The 22866-nt window shown below is 45.0% G+C and overlaps 1 protein-coding gene across 59 annotated transcripts in view; it reads right to left on the bottom strand.

Moving 5' to 3' along the window:
• The window catches only part of SPIDR (scaffold protein involved in DNA repair), a 475429-nt gene that overhangs the window by 13693 nt on the left and 438870 nt on the right, over window positions 1–22866 (bottom strand). For 53 of the 59 annotated variants that reach the window (NR_148202.1, NR_148205.1, NR_104581.1 and 50 more), the window contains 5 exons: window positions 22124–22211; window positions 20750–20893; window positions 20599–20658; window positions 9742–9952; window positions 8973–9125 (listed from right to left, as the gene is read on the bottom strand). Coding sequence is in view for 54 of the 59 variants with exons in the window: in XM_017013268.3 (XP_016868757.1) it covers window positions 8973–9125; window positions 9742–9952; window positions 20599–20658; window positions 20750–20893; window positions 22124–22211 (656 nt within the window). In the remaining 5 variants the exon portion in view is untranslated. Of the gene's footprint in view, window positions 1–8972; window positions 9953–20598; window positions 20659–20749; window positions 20894–22123; window positions 22212–22866 lie in introns of those variants that run through there. The other 6 variants (XM_017013269.3, XM_047421638.1, XM_047421643.1 and 3 more) reach the window with 3 other exon arrangements.

Below are 22866 nucleotides of genomic sequence, written 5' to 3'. Positions count from 1 at the left end.
AAAGTGCAGATGCAAAGGTAGGTAGATGGAAAAGAAGAGTGTAATAAAAGAAGGGAAGGAGAGCTAATATTATTTTCTTCCAAAGTGATACTATCTCCAGCAAATGGAAGAACAAAACCCCTCTGGCTAACATCATAATCAATGGTGAGAAAATACATGGTTAACCCTTAAGATTAAGAACAGGGCAAGGATGTTCCCACTACTGCTATTCTACATGGTACTGATAGTCCTAGCTAATGCAGTAAGACAAGAAAATAAAATAAAAGATACACAGATTGAGAAGGAAGAAAGAAAACTGTTCACAGATGACCTAGTATTCTATGGAGAAAATCTCAAAGAAACAACAAAAGACCACTGGAACTACTAAGTGATTACAGCAAAGTTGCAGGGTTAATATCAAAAAGTTAATTGTTTTCCTATGAAACTCAATGAACGATTGGAATTTGAAATTAAAAATAATACTATTTACAATAGCAACAAAATAAATGAAATACTTAGGTATAAATCTAACAAAATATGTACAAGATCTGTATGAGGAAAACTAAAAAACTCTTCTGAAAGATATCAAAGAAGATATAAATAAATGCAAAGATATTCCATGTTCATGGATAAGAAGGCTCTAGTATTACAACATGTCATTTTTTCCCCACCTGATCTACAGACTCAACACTATCCTAATCAAAATCTCATCAAGTTATTTTGTGGATATCAACAAACTGATTCTAAAGTTTATATGGAGAGGCAAAATGACCTAGAATAGCCAAGACAATATTGAAGAACAAGAACAAAGTTGGAAAACTGACAGTACCCGACTTCAAGACTTAAAAGTCGCAGTAATTGGCCGGGCGCGGTGGCTCACGCCTGTAATCCCAGCACTTTGGGAGGCCAAAGTGGGTGGATCACGAGGTCAGGAGATTGAGACCAACCTGGCTAACATGGTGAAACCCCGTCTCTACTAAAAATACAAAAAAAAAATTAGCCGGGCATGGTGGCAGGTGCCTGTAGTCCCAGCTACTTGGGAGGCTGAGGCAGGAGAATGGCGTGAACCCGGGAGGCGGAGCTTGCAGTGAGCCAAGATCGTGCCACTGCACTCCAGCCTGGGTAACTGAGCAAGACTCTGTCTCAAAAAAAAAAAAAAGTTTCAATAATTAAGATGGTGTACTGGTAGCAAAAGAACAAATAGATCAAGGGAACACAGACCCTCATAAATATAGTCACCTGATCTTTGACAAAGGAACAAAGACATTTCAATGGAGAAAGAACAGTCTTTTCAACAAATGGTGCCAGAACAACTAGATTTCCACAGGCAAAAAAATGAATCTAGACATAGATCTTACATCTTTTACAAAAATTAATTCAAAATGGATCATAGACTTAAATGTAAAACACGAAACTCCTAGAAAGAAAACAGGAGAAAATCTAGATGATCATGGGTTTTACAATGAGTTTTTAGATGTAACACCAGAAATGCAATTCGTGAAAGAAACAACTGATGTGAGACTTCATTAAAATTAAAACTTATGGTTTGCAAAAAGACTTATTAAGAGTATGAAAAGGGCCAGAAGCGGTGGCTCATGCCTGTAATCCCAGCAGTTTGGGAGGCCTAGGTGGGTGGATCACCTGAGGTCAGGAGTTCAAGACCAGCCTGGCTAACATGGCAAAACCCAGTCTCTACTAAACATAAAAAAACTAGCTGGGCATGGTGGCAGGCGCCTGTAATCCCAGCTACTCAGGAGGATAAGGGAGGAGAATTGCTTGAACCAGCGGGGTGGAAGTTGCAGTGAGCCAAGACTGCACCACTGCACTCCAGCCTGGGCAACAGAGAGAGACTCCATCTCAAAAAAGAAAAAAAAAAGTATGAAAAGACAAGCCATGAACTGGGAAAAATATTTGCAAAAGACACATCTGATCAAGGACTGTTAACACTTAAAACTCAACAATAAGAAAATGAACAACCCAATTAAAAAATGGGCAAATGATTTGAACAGACAAATCATCAAAGAGGTTGACAAATAACCATATGAAAAGATGCTAAATGTCATATGTCATTAAGGAATTGCAAATTGAAGCAGCAGTGAGATACTACTACACATCTATTAGAATGGCAAAAATCCAAAACACTAGTAACACCAAATGCTGGTGAGGATGTGGATCAAGAGGAGCTCTTATTCATTGCTGGTGGGAATGCAAAATGATACAGCCAACTTTGGAAGACGGCTTAGCAGTTACTTCGAAAACTAAACATATGATCCAGCAATCATACTTCTTGGTATTTACCCACGAGTTGAAAACTTATGCCCACACAAAAACCTTCACAAACGTCTATTGCAGCCTCATTAATAATTGCCAAAACTTGGAAGCAAACCAGAAAACTGTGGTACATCCATGCAATGGAATACTATTCAGTGCTAAAAAGAAATGCGCTATCAAGCCATGAAAAGATGTGGAGGAACCTTAAATGCATATTGCTAACGGAAATAAGCTAATCTGAAAAGGTTGCATACTGCATGATTCCAACTATATGACATTCTGGACAAGGCCAAACTACAGAGACAGTACAAAGAAGAGTGGCTGCCAGTAGTCAGTGGGGAGGGAGGGATGAAGAGCCAGAGCACAGGATTTTTAGGGTGGTGAAACTATTCTGTATGATACACTAATGGTAACGGTAGTACATGGTATTATACATCTGTCAAAACCAACAGAACTGTACAACACAAACAGAGAATGCTGGCTCCCCTGGGTGTGGGGGGGCATGGGAGCCCTGGCTCCTGTAAATGTAAGGAGCATTGGGTTCCTTGAGTGCGGGTTGACTGTGGGAGATGTGGGGGCCTTGGCTTCCCTGGTTTCCTTCAGTGTGGGAGATGTGGGGGCCCTGGCTTCCCTGGGTGTGAGGAGCATTGAGACTCTGGCTCCCTTGGCTTTCCCAGGAGTAGGAACCCCTGGTCCCTCCAGCCTGGCTCCTAGGGCACTCACCCCTTGTTAGCCCAGTGCCTGGGCCAGCTGTAGCTGCTTGGAGAAGGCAAATTCCCAGCTGCTGGCAATGCTGGCCGTAATCAGACTGGCCAGACACAACTGGTGCTTATATGCTTTCTATTTTTTTTTTTTGATACGGAGTCTCGCTCTGTCGCCCAGGCTGGAGTGCAGTGGTGCAGTCTCGGCTCACTGCAAGCTCTGCCTCCCAGGTTCACGCCATTCTCCTGCCTCAGCCTCCCGAGTAGCTGGGACTACAGGTGCCTGCCACCATGCCCAGCTAATTTTTTTGTATTTTTAGTAGAGACAGGGTTTCACTGTGTTAGCCAGGATGGTCTCGATCTCCTGACCTCGTGATCCGCCTGCCTCGGCCTCCCCAAGTGCTGGGATTACAGGCATGAACCACCACGCCCAGCCTGGTACTTACATCGTTTCTATGAAGCTTAGGATGGCAGGGCTGCTTCCCTGTTCAGGCCACTAAAGTGACTTTAGGTTCCTAGGACATTTACTAACTGACGTTGAGAGGCCTAGAACTTCTCATTGGCAAACCAATGGTGCCTGTGTTTAGTGCTGTCTCTGTGCCATGCAGGCCACCTCCCCCAGTACCCACTCCCTTCCTGCTCACCACCTCACCTCAGTATTCACCCACAGCTCTCTCACAGGGAAGACCTGTGAGGGTTTCCAACTTTTCTCTATTTAGAAGGAGCCCTGCGTAGGGGAAGGGAGAGCATCAAGAATAGCTAATGTATGCTGGGCTTAATACCTGGGTGATGGGTTGATCTGTGCAGCAAACCACCATGGCACACGTCTACCTATTTAACAAACCTGCACGTCCTGCACATGTACCCCAGAACTTAAAAGTTGAGGGGAAAAAAAAAGAATCCTGCCATTGCTTGGCCAAGACCGTATTTCTATTCTTCAATATTTCTATAAAAGAAAATGAAGTTTATAGGTAATGTCTGAATGTCTCACTGTGGTTTACACTTTATAAAATAAAGTTTTATCAACGTGCAATGAAAAAATGAAAGGTGACTTAAACCATGAGGATAGTAATTCATCTTCCTGACTAGTGCTCATGTTAAAAAAATAAAAAGGAGCCCTTGCCTCCAATGAGGTACAGAAAAATGAAAAAAAAAAAGAGCCAAAGATAAGTAGTTTAAGCATATTTCTTAAGTGAATTTGAGAAGGAAAAACTGCCTAAATACAACTGGCTTAGTCAGAAACGTTGATCCCACCAATTTGTAAAATGAGGGCACAGAAAAAAAAAATAATTTTCATCTTAATACATGCAAAATACATGAACCAATCAGAGCATGTTTCCTCCCCTGTTTAGAAATCTTGCTTCTTTGCTTTTAGTTGGGAACAGCATTGGATGAGCAAAGGACAAATGTGTGTTTGATCTCCGTATGTGACTGATATGATGCCCTCTCTACTGCACATGGAGGCAAGCACGTAGCTTTAGTAGTGCATGCCTCCACTGTTACTGTCCATTCAAACCTTGGAATAAAAGCACAGATCCCGGCTACAAGCTTTGAAATGTGGCTTGGGTGGACTGGATACAGGGAACCCCAGCCTCTAGAGTCCTTCAATGTGTCTGGCATATGGACACTGGGCTTGGACCTGTGCAGCTGTTTTTGATTAAGGAGGGTGCCAACAGCATGTGCCCCAGGGCTGCTCTCATTTTAGAAAGGTGTTACACTCAGCAAAGCCCACAGAGGTCTGAAGGCAGCAGCCGAGTGTTAGGAATGGCATCTTGTGCTGCTCTCCTTCCAGTGGTTAGGTGCTTAAGAATCTGAACTGCTGATCTCTAGAACACCTAAATTTGCTACCAGGAACAGAGCTTTGTGACAGATCAAACTGCCTATTGATTACATTACACATATTTAGTTTTCAACACCCATTTGAAGGTTCAGTTTAAGTAAGGTGGGGCCTAAGGATGACTGAGCCTCATCAGTGTTCCCAGCTGCTGCCAACACAGCTAATGCCCAACAGGGAGGTCACTGCACTAAGTCACATGAGGCTGCATCTGACCACCTAGAGCAAAGTTCCCTCAGTGTACCAACAGGCAGGCCTACTGCCACAGGCACAAAAGGTGAGGATCTGCCTCTGTGTGCACCTGTGGCACTCATTGGCCGTAGTTAGGAATGGGTTAGGGAAACCCTCCTTGGGGTTCTTCAGGTACACATTTTCTCATGAGACACTGCTATGGGTGGTGGCGATTCTTCTGGTCATAAAATAACAGGGTCCCATGCAGCCTAACTGGTTTGTGGCATGGCTGTGACTCTCAGACCCAGAGCTGAGACCTTCACTGTGGGATGTTCTCCCTGAGCCCCTGACTAATCCTGGCCTCTGGGAGAGCTGAGGGGGTGGGAGAAGAACAGGTAGCAACCAGTGAAGAGAATGAAGGTGGAAGGGATGTCCTTATACATGAGCCTGGAGACCAGCAAGCCCTGGAAGCGAGCGATGGGTCACTGCCAAAGGCACACAAATAGCACATGCGCCCCAGGGACCAGGCTGCATCCCTCTGCACCATATGCCCTGTCCCTGTAGCCGGTCTGCTCAGGGACACAGTGCTGCTGTACACCAAAGAGCAGCTCCACGCTGGCTCACGTGGGCCAGGCAGTCTGCTCCACCCCTGCAGACCCTCTTCTTCCTGCCAATCATCTCTCCCTGCTTTGCATCACAGTCTCTGGGGCTGCAGAATTTCTTCATTAAAAAATCTGACCATATAATCTCCACATGGCCAGGGAAAGCAGAGCAATACACAAGCAACTGGGTCCCCTGCTGCCCTTCTTGGTCCCTGCCCCTCTCCCATCACTTGGGAGGGTTTATAACTGCTCCCAGCACTTCTGTGGGTTTTCCATGTGCCCTTCCACCTGCTCTTACAGCCTTGCCCAACTCTACTTGACAAATCCTGATGGTCCTAAGGCCACCCACCCTCTGCAGTCAGTGGCTGCAGCCCTCAGACATCCCTCCCTCCCTTCCTGACTCCTGGTACCAGTACTGAGATGTCTGTTTTCTCCACTGGACTCAGAGCTTCAAAGCCCCCAAAGCCTCCTGAGCATTATCTCATTTAATTCTCAACAGTGTTTTGAGGCTGATTCCGTTAGCCCTATTTTACAGATGAGAAAATGGAGGCCCCATATGACCCATCACCCCATAACTGCAGTAATGTGTTAGCATTAACCCCAAAAGGAGATGCACAGAAGAGAAAATCCAAATGGCCTCAACACAGTGAAAAGAATGTGAAAGCAACAATGGAATCACAAGAGTTTTCTGTTTATCAATTATAAAAAGTCAGGAACTAGTTATAGGTAAGGGTGAGGAACACCAGCCATCTTAGACATTACGCTCGGAATTCTGAATTTTGATATGCTTTGAACCGGCTGGGTGCCGTGGTTCACACCTGTAATTCCAGAACTTTGGGAGGCCGAGGTGGGTGGATCACCTGAGGTCAGGAGTTCAAGACCAGCCTGGCCAACACGGCAAAATCTCTATTAAAAATACAAAAAGTAGCCAGGTGTGGTGGTGCATGCCTGTAGTCCCAGCTACTTGGGAGGCTGAGGCAGGAGATTCTCTTGAACCCAGTAGGCAGAGGTTGCAGTGAGCTGAGATCATGCCATTGCACTCCAGCCTGGGTGACAGACAGACTCTGTCTCCAAAAAAAAAAAAAAAAAAAGAAAAAAGAGAGAGGCACAAACCCCTAGTGTAGCCACTTTGGAAAACACTGGTGTTCTTCAAAAAGGTTAAAAATGCAGGGTTACCATATGACTTAGCAATTCCAGTCCTGGATTCATACCCCAAATTTCAAAACAGGCGTTCAAACAAAACCTTGTCCATGAATATTCATAGCAGCTTTATTCGTAGTAGCCAAAAAGTAGAAACAACCCAAATGAAATGTCCATCAACTGAGGAAAGGATAAACAAAATGTGGCATATCTGTGCAATGAAATGTTATTATGCCATAAAAGAAATACACACTGCATTGTGGATGAACCTTGAAAACATTTATGCTGATTGAAAGATGCTAATCATGAAAGATCACATAGTATGTTAGGTTTGTGCAAAAGTAATCACGGCTCTTTCCATTACTTTTAATGGCAAAAACCACAATTATTTTTGCACCAGCCTAAATATTATTCCAGTTAACATGAAGTGTCCAGAATAGGCTGGGGGCGGTGGCTCACACCTGTAATCCCAGCATTTTGGGAGGCCGAGGAGAGGAGATCACCTGAGGTCAGGAGTTCGAGACCAGCCTGGCCAACATGGTGAAACCTTGTCTCTAATAAAAATAAAAAAATTAGCCGGGCATGGTGGTGCACGCCTGTAATCCCAGCTACTTGGGAGGCTGAGGCAGGAAAATTGCTTGATCCCAGGAGGTAGAGGTTGCAGTGAGCAGAGATCACACCACTGCACTCCAGCCTGGGTGACAGAGCGAGACTCCATCTCAAAACAAAAACAAAAACAAAAACAAAAAACCCCCCCAAAAAGCAGAACAGGCAAATTCATAGAAGCAAACAGTAGATTGGTGGTTTCCTAAGACTAGGGTGTGGGAGGGTGGGTGGTAACGGGGCGTGAATGATAACGGGTATGGGTTTTTGTTCTAAAATTAGATTGTAGTGATCTTTGCACAATTCTGTGAATACTAAAAACACTTTAAAGGAGTGAATTATAGGGTATTACTGAGTTATAGCTCAATAAAGTTGTTTAAAAAGTCCATAAACCCCAAGCCGCTGAAATCCTCCTTTACAGAAATCAGTAGAGATTGATGTCCAAGAATGTTTATTACAGCCTTGTTTAATAATTGCAAAAACACGAGAGATCCTGGATGTCCATGAGTGGAGGAAGAGTTTATTCATATGAGGGGATGCTATGCAACTATTAAACTCTTGAGTTTGACCTCTCCCCCCACCTGGACGGACATCCCTCCTAGAGGGAAGCAAGTGGCAGAATAATGTGCAGTAAATCATTTGACTTGCAAGAACGCATACACCCTCAAGGCGGGCAGCTGTGTCTCCTGGATGCGCCAGCACAGGCAGGAAGCCGGGGACAGAGGGTGGGCTGTTAACTTTCTCTTATTTTTCACTAGTTCCACTAGACATGTATGACTTTTATTACTAAGTTTTATAAAGTTAAAAAAGAGAAAATAATAATGCTATTTTCAGCTCCAGACTCACATATCTAACCAGCTACTGAAACATCTCAGATGTATGTAAAACACGCAAACTCTCCCGACAGAACTGAGCAGGTCCCCTCAAAGCTGACTTTGCCTGCCACATCCTACTTAATGAACAGCACCACTGTTACCTCAACTGAGCCAGGAGCTCGGAGGTTGTCAGATGTCTTCTGCCTCCATCTATGCCCAATTCATCGCTCAACCTGCCGATTTCCCTAAGTCCATCCTTGGATTTCCTTCTCTACCTCTGCCACCCAGTCCCTCCACTCTGCTCTGCAGGGAGGACATCAGACCAGGCCGCCTGTACCAATGACAGAACACACTCCTGACACCACCAGCCTGGTGGGCCCACCAGCCTCAGCTTGGTCCCACCTCCATCTGGCTGCCTGTCCTGCCTCTTCCCAGACACCCCTGCTCACCAACTTTCTCATGCCAGTGGCCTTACGAAGTCCTGCTCTCTTCCCAGGAATGTTCCTCCTGCTCCATCCCTGACCTAAGTAGTCTCATCTATGCTTCAGAGCTCAGCTTGAGGCTCCTGTCTTTGGGAAGCCTTCCCTGAGTTCCCCACTAAGACGTGGGCCCAGGTTATCAGCGGCTAGAGCACTCAGAGCCTGAGGATAGGCCTGTCTGTGTTCGTCTGATTCACATCTTTCTGTGCAGACTCGAGTCTGATACCAAGAACAATTTCTGCTTTTGTTCTTTATGTATCCAGTGTCTGGAACTTAGCGGGTGCTCCACAAATACTTGTTGAATAAATGAGTAAATGAATATAAAGTATAACAGTTAAGAAAGTATAAGCACCAATTCCTGTGAGATGGCTGCCTACCTTGAACACTGCAGATGGAGTTGACAGGTGTTGCAGAGTCCAGGCTGTCGAGCATCACCGGGCCAGGCAGCTCACAGGAACTTGCACCAGAGACCACACTCAAAAGGGGCTTCTGAAGCAAGAGGACAGTTCGTTCAGCACAAACAATCCGACCTGCCGACAGAGACACTTCAGGTTATTGAAGCCTTGAAGAAAAAGTGAATTGTGCCCATAATGGCAGTCTCCTTTGCTACCCCTCGAGTCATGCAGGTGAAGGTGCAGTTATGGGACTGTGTCCAGCAGCACGTTCATTGTGTGTGCACACTCCTGAACCCCATGAGCTAAGCTAAAAAAGCACTCAAATGTGAGATTCAAGTCAATCCACACAGGGTAAATTATGTGGCATGTGAATTATGACTCAATAAAAATTAAAAAAGATAGCTGAGGCAGGATTTTAGTTTGATCCCTGGAAAAAGGGGCTGGCTGATCTAAGTATACGCATTTATAATATTCTAGCTTTTGGTTTGTTTGTGGAGTCTGCAGCAGTATGGGGTGCCACCAGCAGGCAATTCTGGAGTGAGCACAGCATCTCCATGGAGCTGGTTCTGCCCAGGTGGCTGCTACAGGGTCAGTGAAGGCTGGAGGCTGGTACATGGGCCATGTCTGTGATGGGCTCCGTGAAGGTGCCGGCAGCGTCCAAGCAACAAGGAGGCATCCAGAGGCCACAAGAGGTATTCTATGGGCACGGATCAGTCGCCCCTGCATCAAAGCTGTGGAGACGCAAGCACACCCTGGTCACGGAGAGCGTCCTTGAAGAAGAGGCTGTGAGGGGCAGCCCCAGCGAGTGCCTCCAGGACTTCAGAGCCCAGCACACACAAGGGGGCCACATAGACCAGCAGGGTTTTGGGGAGCCTGGGGTCTCTCTCCTCCTTCGTTTGCAGAGTGACATCGGTCACTAGCAGCCAGATCTCCCTTTGCTCCAGAAGCAGCAGACTCTTCAGCTACAATTTGAAGACACAATAAAGATTAATTATTATACCAAAAAATGTTTTAAAAGCATTTAAAAGCAGAAGTTATACATATACTAACAATTTAAGATATTATTTCAAAAACACTTTAAAACATACACTAGACTTTGCACATCTTGGTCACTAGCCCCATGTGCCCTGGGTGCCTCGACTTTGCACCTGGTTAAAGGCTTCCTTGGTTGGGAACAGGCCACCCTTCCCTGGCAGCATTCCATTTGTCCACTGACATCCTCAGGCTGAATCCATTGTTCTTTTCCTCCTGATCCTCTGTTTATATACTTAGAATGTTAATTACAACATTGTTTCCTGTGTAGTACATACATATTATTCTTTCCAGCCAGTTGTAAGTTTCCTGAGGGTTAGGAACAGATCTTACTTGCCCTCAGACTTTGTACAGGGCCTTGGTATAAAGCTGGTGTCGCATATTTGTTGCATCTGCAACAGGTTTTATTATTTTCTTTTCTTCTTTCCTTCTATATTTTTTCATTTTTTTCTTATCTTCAAAACTTGTAATGCCTTTTCAAGTTCCATTAGACTGGTATTCTGCCCTTTCCTTTTGGTCAGGGCTTAGGATTCAGTAGACGCAAATGGGGCCAAGGATGGTCAGCAGGGCCAGGGCCTGAGGATGTGGCCAGTTGGAGGTTCAGCTGGTGTTGCTGGCACAGACGGTGTGGTCAGGCTGAGAATTCCACATGGCCAGTTAACAGGACTGGGCAGAGAAGGTCACTTGTGTGGTGCGTAGCTGAGGGTTGGGGTGAAGGAAGTGGCCTACATTGTCAGGAGGTTGATTATATACAGGAAGTATGAATAAGTAATATTGAGGAAAATGAAGCCAAGCTTCTTACTGTTGGAGAAGCGAGTTATACATATAGAAATAAGAAAACTTAGAATAAATTCTGTGGTAATGATCTAGAGTTGGAAGTATTGGTATGAAATAATGATTTTAGATAGATAGAAATATAGAAGTAGATATAGTTGTGTGTGTATGTGGATGAATATACACACACATTTCCTTCCTCTGTCCACTGAGAGGGCAGAGAGGCAATGATATCTCAATAGCAGGAAGCCCACCTAGAACCCGGATCTTGGCTTCTAAGTAACATTCTTAACCAGCCACAGTGGCACAAGTGACTCAGGAGCAGTCTCAACTACTTGGGAGGCTGAGGTGAGGGCATCGCTTGAGCTCAGGAGTTTGAGGCTGTGGTGCACCAAGATCATGCCTGTGAAGAGCCACTGCATTTCAGCGTAGTGAACATAGCAAGATGCCATCTCTGAAAAACTAAAACTAAAACTAAAAAAACCCCAAAACCAAAAAGCCATTCTCCATTAAAATCAACCAGAGCTTCTTGAAAAGATGGCTGACTCCAGAGCACAGAAAGCAAAAGATGAGTTTGACGCATCTTACTGTGTCAGAAAATAAGGAGGTACTCAAAGAATGACGGGCATGTGTCCAAAGGACACAGGAACCAGCTTAAATATGGTAAAATTGAGCATCAAAATGAATACAGTAATAGATATAACTTGCTGAATAAAAGATGAATTCATTGGTCCATACTGATATTTAATAAGTGGGCTGGGCACAGTGGCTCATACCTGTAATCCCAGCACGTTGGGAGGCTGAGGCGGGAGGATTACTTGAGCCCAGCTGGGCCAATATAGTGAGACCCCATCTCTACAAAAAATAAAATAAAGCTGGGTGTGGTGGCGAGTGCCTGTAGTCCCAGCTACTTGGGAGGCTGAGGTAGGAGAATTGCTTGGGCCCAAGAGGTCAATGTTGCAGTGAGCTGTGATGGTACCACTGCACTACAGCCCGGATGACAGAACAAGACCGCCTTCTCAAAGAAAAAAAAAATTAAAAAAATTAGTGGGCCAGTCGTGGTGGCTCATGCCTGTAATCTCAGCACTTTGGGAGGCCGAGGCAGGCGGATAACCTGAGGTCGGGAGTTCAAGACCAGCCTGACCAACATGGAGAAACCCCATCTCTACTAAAAGCACAAAATTAGCCAGGCGTGGAGGCACATGGATGTAATCCCAGCTACTCGGGAGGCTAAGGAAGGAGAATTGCTTGAACCCAGGAGGCAGAGGTTGCGGTGAGCTGAGATTGCACCATTGCATTCCAGCCTGGGCAACAAGAGCGAAACTCCGTCTCAAAAAAAAAAAAAAAGGTGAATATTTCAGGAAGGGCAAAGCTTTCTATAAGGTTATCTGTGGGTGGGAGTTCTGACAACCTCCAAAGATTTTATATGCTCTTTGTAAATACTTTGGATTTGGCCAGTGGTCTCTCTTTCAATCTATTAATGAACCAAAATGTTCTAATCTCCTTTGAAATTAATTATGAAATTATCTCTACTATTGGGGTTATGAACAAAGTCAGTAACAATCAAATCAACTGTAAAAAGACATCAGTAACTAATTAAAGCAGTACTACCACTACACTGCTAAAATTTTATTAAAAATAGGTTTCTTCTCTGGCCAGGCGTGGTAATCCCAGCACATTGGGAGACCAAGGCGGGTGGATCACTTGAGGTCAGGAGTTCGAGAGCAGCCTGGCCAACATGGTGAAACCCTGTCTCTACTAAAAATATAAAAATTAGCTAGGTGTGATGGTGCATGCCTGTAATTCCTGCTCCTCTGGAGGCTGAGGCATGAGAATTGCTTGAACCCAGTAGGCGGAGGTTGCAGTGTGCTGAGATCATACCACTGCAACTCCAGCCTGACTGACAGAGCATCTCAAAAAAAAAAAAAAATTGGTGAATATTTCAGGAAGGGCAAAGATTTCTGTAAGATTATCTGAGGTTGGAGGTTCTGAAAATGTCCAAAAATTTTAGATGCTTTTGTAAATACTCTGGATTTGGCCAGTGGTCTCTCTTTCAATCTATTAATATACCAAAATGTTCTAATCTCCTTTGAAATTAACTATAAAATTGTCCTACTATTGGGGTTATGAACAAAGTCAGTAACAATAAAATTATCTGTAAAAAGACATCAGTAACTAATGAAAGCAGTACTAGTACTACCACTACATTGCTAAAAGTTTATTAAAAATAGATTTCTTCTCTGGCCGGGCATGGTGGCTCACGCCTGTAATCCCAGCACTTTGGGAGGCCAAGGTGGGTGGATCACTTGAGGTCAGGAGTTCGAGACTAGCCTGGCCAACATGGTAAAACCCCATCTCTACTAAAAATACCAAAATTAGGCTGGGCGCCGTGGCTTACGCCTGTAATCCCAGCACTTTGGGAGGCAGAGGCGGGTGAATCACCTGAGGTCAGGAGTTCGAGACCAGCCTGGCTAACATTGTGAAACCCTGTCTCTACTAAAAATACAAAAATTAGCTGGTGTGGTGGTGCATGCCTGTAATTCCAGCTACTCGGGAGGTGGAGACAGGAGAATTGCTTGAACCTGGGAGGTGGAGGTTGCAGTGAGCCGAGGTCATGCCACTGCACTCCAGCGTGGGCGACAGAGAGAGACTCCATCTCAAAAACAAACAAACAAAAATTAGCCGGGTGTAGTGGCGGATGCCTGTAATCCCAGCTACTCGAGAGGCTAAGGCAAGAAAATCTCTTGAACACGGGAGGCAGAGGTTGCAGTGAGCCAAGATTGCGTCACTCCATTCCAACCTGGGCAACAGAGTGAGATTCCATCTCAAAAAAAAAAAAAAAGTCTTCTTACTCATAATTGCCAAAACCTGGAAACAACCAAGATGTCCTTCAGTATGTGAATGAATAACTAAACTGAACTATGTGGTACATCCAGACAATGGAACATTATTCAGCACTCAAAAGGAAACGAGCTATCTAGCCATGAAGTCACAGAAACTTAAATGCATATTATTAAGTGAAAGAAGTCCGTCTGAAAGGCTACAGACTCTAAGATTCCAACTTTATACAATATTCTGAAAAGGCAAAACTATGGAGATGGTAAAAATAAGAATGTTTGCCAGGGATTTGTGGGGAGGGGGAATAAACACGTGGAGCAGATTTTTAGGTCACTGAAACTGCTCCATATGATACTATGATCGTAGATACATGGCATTACATATTTGTGCAAACCCATAAAATTACACCACCAAGAGTGAACCCTCATGTAAACTGTGGACTCTGGGTGAGTACGATGTGTCAATGCAGGTTCATTAGTTGTGAGCAATGTGCTGTCCTGGTAGGGATGTTGATAATGGGGAGGCTGTGCATGTGTGGGAGTAGAAGGTGTATGGAAAATCTCTGTACCTTCCTCTCAATTTTGCTGTGAACCTAAAACTGCTCTAAAAGAAAAAAGTCTAATAAAAATTTTTATAGCCCTGTGTAATCAGGGAAAGTTTTTTGTTTGTTTGTTTGTTTTTGAGACGGAGTCTCGCTCTGTCGCCCAGGCTGGAGTGTAGTGGCACAATTTCGGCTCACTGCAACTTCTGTCTCCCAGGTTCAAGTGATTCTCCAGCCTCAGACTCCCGGGTAGCTGGGATTACAGGCACCTGCCATCATGCCCGGCTAATTTTTGTATTTTTGTAGAGACAGGGCTTCACCACATTGGCCAGGCTGGTTTCAAACTCCTGACCTCAGCTGATCCACCTGCCTCGGCCTCCCAAAGTGCTGGGATTACAGGCGTAAGCCACCGTGTCCGGCCCAGGAAAAGTATTTAAGCATAGATGATATAGACACCTATAATGCTAGTAATAAGGCAAAAATATTACCAATGCAAATTTATCAGGAAAAAATAGATCTCTCCCACACAAATATGCCCAATTAATTTTTGACAAAAGTGCAACAGCAATTTAATGGAGGAAGGACGATATATCAACAAATGGTGCTGGAATGAATGGATATCCAAAGGTGAAAAAATTAACCTTGACCTAAACCACACACCTTATACAAAACCCAACTCCAAATGCATCATGGACTTGGAAGGTAAAGTGTAAAATTAAATCTTCTGGAAAAGAACACAAAAGAATAACTTTGGGACCTATGACTAGGCAAAGAGACTTGACTTCTCTTAGACTTGACAACAAAACTGTGATCTGTAAGAGAAAAATCTGGTAAATCTGACTGCATCAAAATTAAAAACTTCTACTATGTTAAGAAAAATCATTAAAAGGATAAAAATAGAATTTAGAGATCCTGAGAAAATATTTGCAAATCCTGTATCTGACAAAGGTTTTGTATTTAAAAAATAGAAATAACTTTAAAGACTCAACAATAAACCAACAAACAAGCAACCCAATTAGACAATAGGCAAAAGATGTAAACAGGGATTTTACCAAAGAGGACATATGGATGGCAAGTAAACACATGAAAAGATGTTCAACATTATTAGTCCTTTGGATGAATCTCTAGACAATACTGTTGGCCGACACCTTATATTTCTTTAATGAATTTTTTTTTTTTTTTTTTTGAGAAAGAGTCTCACTCTGTCACCCAGGCTGGAGTGCAATGGAGCGATCTTGGCTCACTCAACCTCTGCCTCCCAGGTTCAAGCCATTCTCCTGCCTCAGCCTCCCAAGTAGCTGGGACTACAGGCGTGCACCACCATACCCAGCTAATTTTTTGTAGTTTTAGTAGAGATGGGGTTTTACCACGTTTGACAGGCTCATCTCCAATTCCTGACCTCAGATGATGTACCTGCCTCGGCCTCCCAAAGTGCTGGTATTACAGGTGTGAGCCACAGCACTGGGCCTAAAAACAAAATTTAAATAGAGACGGAGTCTCACTATGTTGGCCAAGGTGGTCTTGGGCTCCTGGCCTCAAGTGATCCTCCTGCCTCAGCCTCCCAAAGTGCTGAGATTAAAGGTGTGAGGCACTGCGACTGGCCACTGCTAAGATTTCAGACTTCTGGCCTCCGGAAGTGTGAGAGAATACATTTCTATTGTTTTAAGCTATCTAGTTTTTGGAACTTTATATGGTAATCCTAGTAGGAAACTAATACAGATAAATACTGCATGGTTCTATTCATGTAACAACCATAAGACAACATAATTATAATGACAGAGAACATGTGAGTGGTTGCCAGCGCTAGGGATGAAAAAAGGATCGACGTGGCTATAAAGGCGAACACAGGAATCGTTGGTGATGGCACAGCGGAGGATTCTGACTGCAGTGACAGTGATGCAAGGCTGTACATGTGACAAAACTGCAAGAAGTGCACGCACACATACACACACAAACACACAGAGTGCACACGTGGCTGCTGAAACCTGAATGTGCTCCATGGATTGTTCCTGTGTCAGTTTCTTGTTTTTTGTTGTTGTTGTTGTTGAGACAGAGTCTCACTCTGTCGCCCAGGCTGGAGTGCAGTGGCGTGGTCTTGGCTCACTGCAAGCTCCGCCTCCCAGGTTCACACCATTCTCCCGCCCCAGCCTCCCAAGTAGCTGGGACTACAGGCGCCTGCCACCACGCCCGGCTAATTTTTTTGTATTTTTAGTAGAGACAGGGTTTCACCATGTTAGCCAGGATGGTCTCAATCTCCTGACCTTGTGATCCACCCGCCTTGGCCTCCCAAAGTTCTGGGATTACAGGTGTGAGCCACCGCGCCCAGCTGGTTTTGGTTTTTACTGTGGTTACTGTGGGTGTGGGATATTGACATGGGGGTGGAGGGGTGCACCAGACCCCCCGTGTATTTCTTTGCAATCTACTGTGAAACTATAATTATTACAAAATAAAAGTTAAATATGAAAACTATCTTTTTCACCTTCATGACTTAGTCATTAGTGTAACGGAAATACAACTGAATCTGCTTTTTTTTTTTTTGAGACAGGGTCTCACTCTGTCAGCCAGGCTGGAGTGGAGTGGTGCAATCACAGCTCACTGCAGCAACCTCCTGGGCTCAAGGGATCCTCCCATGTCAGCCTCCCAAGTAGCTGAGATGATAGGCATGCAGCACCATGCCTGGCTAATTTTTAATTTTTTTGTAGAGACGGGGTCGTGCTTTGTTGACCAGGTTGGTCTGGAACTCCTGGCCTCAAGAGATCCTCTAGCCTCAGTCTCCCAAAGTGCTAGGATGACAGGCGTGAGCCACCACGCCTAGTCTGGGTCTGTTTTTATGACTGGAGTTCCAGCAATGACTCATGGTGCCATTCTGAAAGTCAACCCTCACTGCCAAGGATGCAGGCCACTGGCTTAACTACGGACTGGCCCCAGGAGTCAGCTTATTTCTATTCCTTCTTGAGACAGCTGGTTTCTGGTGATTCTTTTACACACAAAAGCAGACTATAGGAGACAGACAGAATTTCAGTGGATCATGGAACCTGTTCCATTGGGTTCCAGGTCTTTGACTGTTTTGTGGCTATAGGACTACTGATTCCTAGGCACACATGCCCACTGGAAGCCATGCTCACTGAAAGCTGCACTTGGCACTGGTGGGAGCCTGTTTCTTGGATAGGAGGGGATTAACATTATCTTCTCTACCTCCCTGAGGGAGGACCCCTTCACAGGGCAAGGTGGATGACCTGCTTCACTCTTGGTCTTTCTCTGCCCCAGAGCTCCCCTCCAACTGGCTTTGGTGCAAGCATTTTGACACCTGCTTTCTTTACTTTCAACCTCGGTCTCAGCCAGAGGGCCGTGGGCAGGAGTGTTAGCTGCAACTGCCACGTGGCTGCTCTGAGGACAGCATTCTCCCTATGGGTGAAAGGCACCTGCACAGAGAGCCACCGCCTGGCCCATGACCCAGAAGAGCAGGAATGTGCCAGATGCCAGGGGCATCCCTACACACACTGACCCCTCTCAAGGTAGGCAGAGGAGCGTGAAGTCAGTCTTAGGTCTCCTCAGGCTTGGAAAGTATGGGACATAGCACGTGCCCTGCCTCGTCCTTGCTGGGAGCCCTATCCTCCTATCTCCTGAGCCGGACACTGGGGTGCTCACAGGGAGCACCACTGAGGGACTCATGCCAATCATTCTCCATTTCTTCATGAGAGGCACTGATCAGCTGTCAAATGATGAAAAGGGGAACAGATGAAGAGAAAACAAAGGAAAAAGGGTATTTCAAAACTCCTAAATTCATCCTAGAACAATCCAATATGGTGAGAGAATGTTACACCCATTTGACAGACAAGGACATGAGACAACGCGGTGAAGTACCTGCACAAGCTCAGTCAGCATGTGGTTGGGGGTGGGGGTGTGTTGCGTCCCTGCCCCACCCCCAGGGCACCAGGTAACTGAGGGACCGTGGAGCCAGGAAGCACCAGGGGACACTGGGCTGAGTAAGAGTCAGGAAACCCACACCAGGCTCCACCAGGGTTTGGTTGTGTGTATCAGAGACAGCAGATAACCAGGCCTAGCCTTGGTCTTCTCCACTTGGAATTAGGAACAGTGACACTATTGCTGCTGAGATAAAATGATATGTACATGAGAATGGTTTGAAAATCTGAAAAATCTCTGACAGAATTAAAGGTGGTGAAGTATTGATAATAAAAAATAAAGAGCTAAATGTGGTTCGTTTATATTCACAACTCAGCCCTCTGATTTCCTTTCTGTGGGCAAGACTCTATGTGCTGGCAAGCACTAGCTAATCCACAGGTTAAGCTGCAGAAACACACACACACTTTCTGCAGAGAAGGAAAGGAAACGCAATTGACAGTTACTAACATATCACCTAAAGCACACTCCTTACATCTGAAATGTAAAAATTAAATTGAGATAAAGCCTTAAAGTACTTTCATATGACGATCATATGTATCAGCGCTGTGTTCTTGCGCAGCACCTATGGCATCCTTAGGTAACAAGCTTGCATCCTACTCGGTGGCCGTCAGTAGATGGCCCTCCCCGTCTCCTCTCCCTGACACACACCGCACTGTGCATTCAGTACAACCTACGGGACACCAGGAGACACTTGGGTTGTTTTTCTTTCTGCGTCAGAGTTCCTGTGTCCTCCAGCCATGCTCAGCACCTGAAGAACGTCAGCAAACCATGGCCTGTGGGCTAGGCCTGTAAGCTAAGTATGGTTTTTATGTTTATTCAAGGTTCTTACATTTTTAAATGGTTAAAAAACCGTAAGAATATTTTGTGACAAGTAAAAATTAAGTTAAATTCAAATTTTGGTGTCTGTAAATAAAGGTTTCTGAAACACAGCCCTGCTCATTCATTTGTGAATGACAACATGGCTGCTTTTGCACTGCAAGGTGGAGCTGAGTAGTTGCTATGAAAACCATACAACCCAAGAAGCCTAAAATATTGACTATCTGGCTCTTTACAGAAACAGTCTGCCCACTACCCCTGATGCAGATGGAAGAGAAGTTGATTTAACATGCTTGTGATAACACTGATTTAATGATACTCGTATATATGCAATTCATCAAGAACTTGACTAGAAGTTATGAAACATATTCTTTTAGTCACTCTCTTATTCTTCCACTGTCGAAGAATGATCAGAGAAATGCAAAGAATTTGTTCAAAATAAATGCACAACAGAAAATAACTCTGGATAACTTAAGCGGAAGAGAAAGGCTCCAAAACCAGGCAGCTGAATTGGGTTGTATGCAACCATGAATGCTTTGAAGAGATTCCTAACAAGCGTGTCGGGGTGAAATGGCATGAGGTCTGGGTGTGCTTTAGCATACTTCAGCAACAAAAAGAAAAGTGAGGGGTGTGAGTGTCAGATCTTGATAACCAGGCATAGTATGATTAGAAGACAGCCCCTGGTGCCACCCCCACCACTGTCCCCCGACTCGTGGTGCACTGGGGCACCTGGCCGAGGTTGCTGGCCAAGGTGCCAGCCTCCTGCCCTCCCTTGAGACTGCTTGCTGGGCAATTCCTGAGTATTCTGGCCTGGCTGGTAGCTGGTGATCCACCGACAGCCCAGGTGAGTGCAGGCATCTGGGGCCTGGTTTGCTCCACTCATACACACCCTCAAGGAGGCAATGTGTGGGGCACTCACTCTCTCCTGCACCATGGCAGATGCACCCGGTGCACATTGCCCATGAGTGGACAAGAGTTTAACAAACAGGATGTTCTCAATCCCTCTTGGGTGATTAGATCTACATGGATATTCCTCCATAAGGTAAGGGCTGGCAGAGGTTTCTAGCAGAATGTAGTCCATGCATTCAAACTGGCAAGCAGGTCTCCTTCCCTCCTCTACTCCTAGTTGATTGATAGCAAGCTCCTCTAGGCCACTGCTCCCTAGAACAGCCCAAGGCCTCACAGGGACCATGGAGGTGGGATGGGGGGGCTTTCAGTTTTGAAGGCTCTAAAAGTTCCCAGAAGTAGCTGAGCTCGATCCTGAGATTCCCACTTCTACCACATAAATGAGGTTTCTCCATCTCTTTCCTTTCTTCAACCTGCCTAAGTGTCGGGAAAGAATGAACATTACTGGGCTGAGAAGCTTTGGGGACAGGGTTGTACCTGGGTGTCTTACACCCCAGTGCTTAGCACAGTGGCTGGTAGTCTGCATCTGTAAAAGGAATGGATTTACTGCCACTTCAGTATATGGGGCATGCTTAACTGGACTTTAAAAACACTTCTCTGTTTTGGCAATGCATTAATTTCCAAAGGAGATTACCCTTTAATAAACCTCTAACACCGTGTGTGTGTGTGTGTGTGTGTGTGTGTGTGTGTGTGTAAGAGAGAGAGAGAGAGAGAGAGAGAGAGAGAGAGAGAGAGAGAGAAAGGCTGAGAGATTGAGAGATTGAGAGAGATTATTACCTGTGGTTTTTGGTAAATCACCGTGGCATAGAAACTGCAACGGGTACCAAGATCATTCATCTGGAAAGGAATTAGAAAAGGTTGGCAGCATTACACGAAGCACACAGACGTGGCCAATACCTAAAAAACCTGTTAGAAACAAAGACATTACCTGGAGAATGTCTCTTAAGCAGCGGGTAACTGGAGGCTGGTAAAGCTTATAAATGGGGTCTTCGTCAATTATATCAATTTGTCCCAGATTTGGATGAGCTGTGAGGATGTAACACAAGGCTGGAGGAGGCAGATGAGTTTTTATCTGTTTAAATGAGACAAAGGTAGAAGGTGAATGTATTGTTAAAAGACTCAAAAAGAGGAGATATTATTAAAATCTCCTCTTTAATATATACATATTTGCTTACAGGTGCATCCTCTCTCTGGAATGCTATACAAGGAATGGATTGCATTGTTTACTTCTGGGACCAACTATAAGAACTTCCATACTTATGAACCTATTAATTCAAGGTTTCATTTTAGAAATCTTTCGGGGTATACTGAAAATATCATCTAGAAATTACTTCCTCTTAAGTAATCTAGAAATGGCTTTTTTTTGAGACAGAGTTGCACTCTCGTTGGCTGGAGTGCAATGGCACGATCTTGGCTCACTACAACGTCTGCCTCATGGGTTCAAGCGATTCTCCTGCCTCAGCCTCCCGAGTAGCTGGCATTACAGCCATGAGCCACAATGCCCAGCTAACTTTGTATTTTTAGTAGAGACGGGGTTTCTCCATGTTGGTCAGGCTGATCTTGAACTCCCGACCTCAGGTGATCTGCCTGCCTCGGCCTCCCAAGTGCTGGGATTACAGGCATGAGCCACCGTGTGCTTTGACAACTACTATGCTGTTTAGCACAGTTCAGGGTCACAGACTTAGCACTACTAAGAAGTCAGCCACAACCTAAGGAAGACAGCCCCAGTTTTGTTTTGGGACCTCTGGCCCAAAGCAGCAGCTGGCTAGCCTGCTGGAAAAGGCTCAGGAGGGAGAGGAGGGAACACTTTCCATCCATTTTGCTGCTTCTGAGACACTCTCATAAACAAGCAGGACAATGGAAGTTCCTGGCTACCCAGGACGTTGTACGAATGTCTATGGATTGTATTGAGTTCCTGCTCCAATTGGTAACTGAGTGTTGGTTCTATGAATGACTAGAAGTTCGTGGGAAAAATTCTATATGTTTACTTTAGTACAAGGCTGAGACCCCAACTGTTCCAACAGTATGTGAGGGTTGTGGTTTAAGCATTCATCATAAGTTAACTTCAAGAAAATGCTGTGCAGCACAGTAGGGAAGGCAGCCAGAGCTTGGTCTCCAGGCACCTGAATCCCAATCCTGGCTCATATTCATGCATCACTACAAAGGAACTGACTGCATGGGGGCTCCTTGTTGCCACTGGAGCAGGGGACACAGACCATGTGAGTGACAGTGATGACGCCTGGCTTGGCACCTGGCATGGAGTAGTCTGTGACTGGGGAAGTTTTTCCAGTGCCGGGCTTACCTCTTCACAGGGCTGGTCGCGGCCAGGTGTTTTCAGAGGTATCGCTGGGGGCCACAGGGTGTCAATCAAACTGAAAATCCCCGCTGTCCTGGAACAAGAAAAGTCAAAGGTATTCATCATCAGACATCCCTTACTGAGTACTTGGCCAGTGAGCTGGTAGAATGCTTAACAGACTCTAATGCCTAAGGCCATGGAACTACAATTCGAGATGTGTGGCGATTCAGAGGGGGAAGAAGGCACACAGACAGATGGACAGACACTGTGGGAAACCAACTGCACAACAGGAACTTGCTCACTAAATTAGGATCCATCCACACAGTGAAATAGTATACGGTCACTGAAATGGTTACAAAGAAAATACTTATGGACATGGAAACATGTTTGTGATACCCTGCTAAGAAAAAAGCAGGCAACAAATTAACTCTCTCTCACTCTCTGTGTGTGTGTGTATGTATGTGTATCTATGCATGCATCTATATATATTAAGCCAAAGGAAAAGACTGAAGCCTATAAGAATGTTTTTAGTGGTTATCTGAGTAGAGTTTGGAGGTGATATTTACTTTCTTCCTGTGGATTGGGTATTTTGTATATTTTCCCCAAACAGATATGTATTACTTATGTAAGAAAAGTTATCTGGGCTGGGTGCGGTGGCTCATGCCTATAATCCCAGCACTTTGGGAGGCTGAGGCGGATGGATCACCTGAGGTCAGCAGTTCAGGACCAGCCTGGCCAACATGGTGAAA

Source organism: Homo sapiens, chromosome 8 (assembly GCF_000001405.40).
Source record: "Homo sapiens chromosome 8, GRCh38.p14 Primary Assembly".
NCBI classification, from domain to species: Eukaryota; Metazoa; Chordata; class Mammalia; order Primates; family Hominidae; genus Homo; species Homo sapiens.
This window is presented reverse-complemented; position numbering and strand designations above follow the sequence as displayed.